Source organism: Homo sapiens, chromosome 10 (assembly GCF_000001405.40).
Source record: "Homo sapiens chromosome 10, GRCh38.p14 Primary Assembly".
Lineage (NCBI taxonomy): Eukaryota > Metazoa > Chordata > Mammalia > Primates > Hominidae > Homo > Homo sapiens.
The window spans coordinates 63,735,553-63,740,002 of NC_000010.11; the positions used below are offsets into that span (position 1 = coordinate 63,735,553).

Below are 4,450 nucleotides of genomic sequence, written 5' to 3' on the forward strand. Positions count from 1 at the left end.
TATGTTAGCAGATAAGTAATAAAGCACTAGGGAAACACAGAGGAAGGAGAAACTACCCTGTTTTATTGCTATTGAATTCCTTCTATGTGAAAGGCATCACATTTTACGCACTCTCAAGAAAGGGAAAACATTTAGGATGGAGAGTCTCCAGGTGTCATCACCCTCAACAGAAAAAATTGGAAATGCCAAACAGTTATATTCTCAGTGTAAATGTAAGTGAGAAAAAAACCCTCTGTGCATAGAAGTTCAGGAAGAAACTTTGGATGGTTCAACCTGGCCCTGGGTGGAGGGCATGTAAATCTCTCCTGAAAATTGGAAACACACATAGGTTCTCATGCTGTTTGTGATCTGAATTTACCAAAGCGGCTCAACAAACTTCAAGGAGATAATTTAATTTAAAGTGGTCTCAGTTTGGTATGGACCCATGTGACAGGCAGAAGCAAATTCAAATCCTCTTTAGAAAAACTTGACTTCGATCCAAGCTGACAACAACTAACAAGACTTCATGGGCTCTAACCGCATCTCACTTTCAGTGATACTAAAATATGAAAAAAATATGCAACATAGAAATCAAGAGATACAATTACTGCCTGGGGAAGAACAGATCAATGTGCCTTAAAATTAAGCCTCTAGGCTTAAAAAACTATATCTAGGTAGAAAACAAAAGAAGGAGACAGCATTGATGGAAGCAAATGCAAACTATAGACGAGGAGTTCTTCATTCACTCTCTGTCCACACTAGAAGTGCAGGAGCAGTGCCCTTTGCAAAAGTTCATACTCTCACATGTCCCAGTGGCCTCATGGCTAGCTCAAGCTTCTTGAAATTCAGGGCTAAATGTTGCTTACCACAGTGTTCCAGTTCCTAGCATAGTGCTTGGTATAGAGCATATCCATTTATCTGTTCAAGCTGCCATACCGAGATACCACAGATTGGGTGGCTTAAACAACAGAAATCTATTTTCTCACAGTTCTGGAGGCTAGAAGCCCAATATCAAGGTACCAGCGAGGTTGGTTTCTGGTGAGGCCTCTTTTCCTGACTTGCAGACAACCATCCACATTCTCACTGGGTCCTCATGTGGTGGAGAGTGAGAGAGGTTTGTGGCTTTTCTTTTTCTTATAAGGACATCAGTCTAATCAGATTAGGCCCCCACCCTCACAACCTCATTTCACCTTAATTACCTCCTTAAAGGCCCCATTTTCAAATAAAGTCACCCTAAGGGTTAGGGCTTCAATGTATACATTGTTTTTGTTGGGGAGGACACAATTCACTCATACAGCATGTCTTCAATAGATATATGTTACAATAATATCACTTTTATTTCATGAGTGCCCCTATTTCTGATGGTCATATTCCCTTCACATCATATAGAGCTGATCGTTTAGGTTGACTTGTGCCTCTGAATTTGGCTTTTTCTTTCCTTTGTGGATCCGTTCTGAAGAAATTGATATCCCTGGCCTTCTAGGTATTCTGAAGTCCAGGGATCTTTTATAATTATGGACATTGCTATAGCTTGGATATGGTTTGTTTGTCCCTACCAAATCTTATTGAAATTTGATCCTAGTATTGAAGGTGGGGTCTAATGGGAAGTGTTCCGGTTTTGGGGGCAGATCCCTTATGAATAGATATGCCCTTCCTGGGGTGTGTGTGAGTGACTTCTCAGGCTATTAGTTCCTGTGTGAAAGCTGGTTGTTAAAAACAGCCTGGCACCTCTCATATCCCTGCTTCCTTTCCTGCTATGTAATCTCTGCACATATCATCTCTCCTTTGCCTTCTGCCATGAGTGGAAGCAGTGTGAGACCCTAACCAGATGCAGATGCTGGCATCATGCTTCTTGTACAGTCTGCAGAACTGTGAGCCAACTAAATCTCTCTTAGTAAATTACCCAGCCTCAGGTGTTCCTTTAAAGCAACACAAAATAGACTAAGACAGATATATACAATATACCTGCCAGAACAGCTAAAATGAATAGACAGAAAATACCAAGTGGTGGTGAGGATGTGAAGCAGCTGGAGTCCTCATACACTGTTGGTGGGAGTATAAGCTGGTACAACCATCTGGCAAACTCCTTGACAGCATGTCAAAGCTAAATATATGCATACCCCATGCTATATATACATATGACCCAGATAGTCTACTCCTAGGTATTTATCCAACAGAAATTCATCCATATGTTCACCAAAGACACAGACAAAAATATTCGGAGCAGCACTATTCATAATAGCACTAAATGAGAAACTGCCTAAATGCCCATCAAAAATAGGTGAATATCCTGTCATTTGTGACAACATGGATGAACCTGGAGGACATTATATTAAAAAGAAATAAGCCAGGAACAGAAAGACAAACACCGCATGATTTCATTCATACATGTGATCTAAAAAAGTTGATCTCATAGACATAGAGTGTAGAATAGTGGTTACCAGAAGCTGGGGTGGTTAGAAGAAAGGGGGGTTTGGGAGATGTGATACCAGTCATAATCCTAAAAGGCACACAATCCTAAATGTCATAATCCTGACTGTTGAAATCTCAAAAGGTCAAAATCCCTAAAGTGTAAAATTTGTAACATCCCCAAATTCCAAAATTCACAATCTTGAAATATAAAATCCTGAATGTTGAAATCCTGAAAGCTGAATTCTGGGGAAGGGATTAGTGCATTTTTGGTTGCAAGCAAGGTAGTTGTAACATGTTAGTTGTATCATGTTAGAGGAAATATTACCTTGTCATTGTCTTTATTTGGAAATTAAGTATAATTTAAGGAGATGCTTATAGGTGCCAAGTTGACAAGGGGTGGACTTGTGGACTTAATTTTAGATGTCATCTTGACTAGATTGAAGAATACCTAGAAACCTGGTAACACATTATTTTGGGTATGTCTGTAAGGGTGTTTTCAGAGGAGATGTATGTGTGAGTCAGAGTGGACTAGCTGAGGAAGATCGCTCCTGAATGTTGGCAGGCACCATCCAACTGGCCAGGGGCCCTGAGAGAACAAGTGCAGAAGGCAAATTGGTCTCTCCCTGAGGGCTGGAATAGACTTTTCTTCTGGGGCCTTAGACAGCTGAACTCTAGGCCCTTTGATCTTTGGACTGCAGGATTTACACCAGTGGCCCCCCAGAGTGTGAGGCCTTGGACTCAGAGTTACACAATTGGCTTTCCTGGTGCTGAGGCCTTTGGACCTGAACTGAGTCATGCTATCGGCATCCTATGGTCTGCAGCTTGCAGATGGCCTATCATGGACTTCTCAGCCACCATAATCATGTAAGCTAGTTCCCAAAGCCCTTAATAAATACCCTCATATATCACATATATATATATATATGATATACCAGTATATTCTATTAGTTCTGTCTCTCTGGAGAACCTTGACTAATGCAGATTTGTTATTGGGGAAGCTGAATATCATTCCCTCTTATTGTATTCTTGACAATGCAGTGAAAGAGATCTGTGAAATTGTTCCCTCATAAATAGGCTGTGATAAGTTAAGTGTGTAAAGCTAATCAATAGTGAAAGATAAAAGTTTAAAAACTAATCATTATTGGTGCTGAGAAAGCAGAAACATCACTTAATTGCAAGGATTAAATAATAATCAGACTTTCAAATGGACAATATATACTTTCAAAATTTGTAGAATGCAACCACTCTCCAAACACAAGTGCAGTGAGTATTTTAAAGATCATAGAGTAATTGAAAATGCAGGCTAAAAACACGAGAAATCTCCCCTGCCAAGTTATTCAGTCATGTGCAACTTCTGCCCCTTCACACACAGCACCAATTTGCTATACTATGTATTTCATCTTCACATTATTTCCAATACTGGAAGTAAAAATTGTGCAAAGACTTTTATAGTGTTCTAGTTTGCTTTATGCATTTTTGTTTTTTACAAATTTGACTCCGCAAAAGTGCATTATCATGATGTTAACTTTGTGTGTAAGAATTGTGCATATACATAAAAATGTTGACTTTCTCAGTAAATAAAAATACATACTTTTTGTACATCTGCATTTGTGAATGGTAAATTTCTCAAGATCTCAGCTTTGCAGTGATAGCATATGCGGTGCTGACCCATTGAAGTTTTAGATTGATATTGTCAAAAAACATAGGTTGTCTGTCATGGTATTTCAAATGATTGCAGTTATAAAGCTGAGTACACACAATTACTGACTATAGTGATATGCATTGATACATTTCACTTTTTGACCCATTTCTTTAGAAATATGATTTGTCTGCTCATGACTGTTACAGTCATGTGACTGTCACTGGTATACCTGTGTTTATACTTGCAAGATATATATGTTATTTTTGTGTTATTAATATAGTATGTAAAGTGGCCTATGAAGTGTTCTGTCATTTTTTTTTTTTTTTTTGAGAGGGAGTTTCACTCTTGTTGCCCAGGCTGGAGTGCAGTGACACAATCTTGGCTCACTGTAACCTCCACCTCCTGGGTTCAAATTAT

The 4,450-nt window shown here is 39.1% G+C and overlaps 1 annotated feature.

Moving 5' to 3' along the window:
• Positions 703-903: a silencer, noted in NCBI's record as "peak967 fragment used in MPRA reporter construct". NCBI's record gives its function as "represses an SCP1 promoter by STARR-seq MPRAs in K562 erythroleukemia cells {active_cell/tissue: K562}" and the evidence as "EXISTENCE:reporter gene assay evidence [ECO:0000049][PMID:32103011]".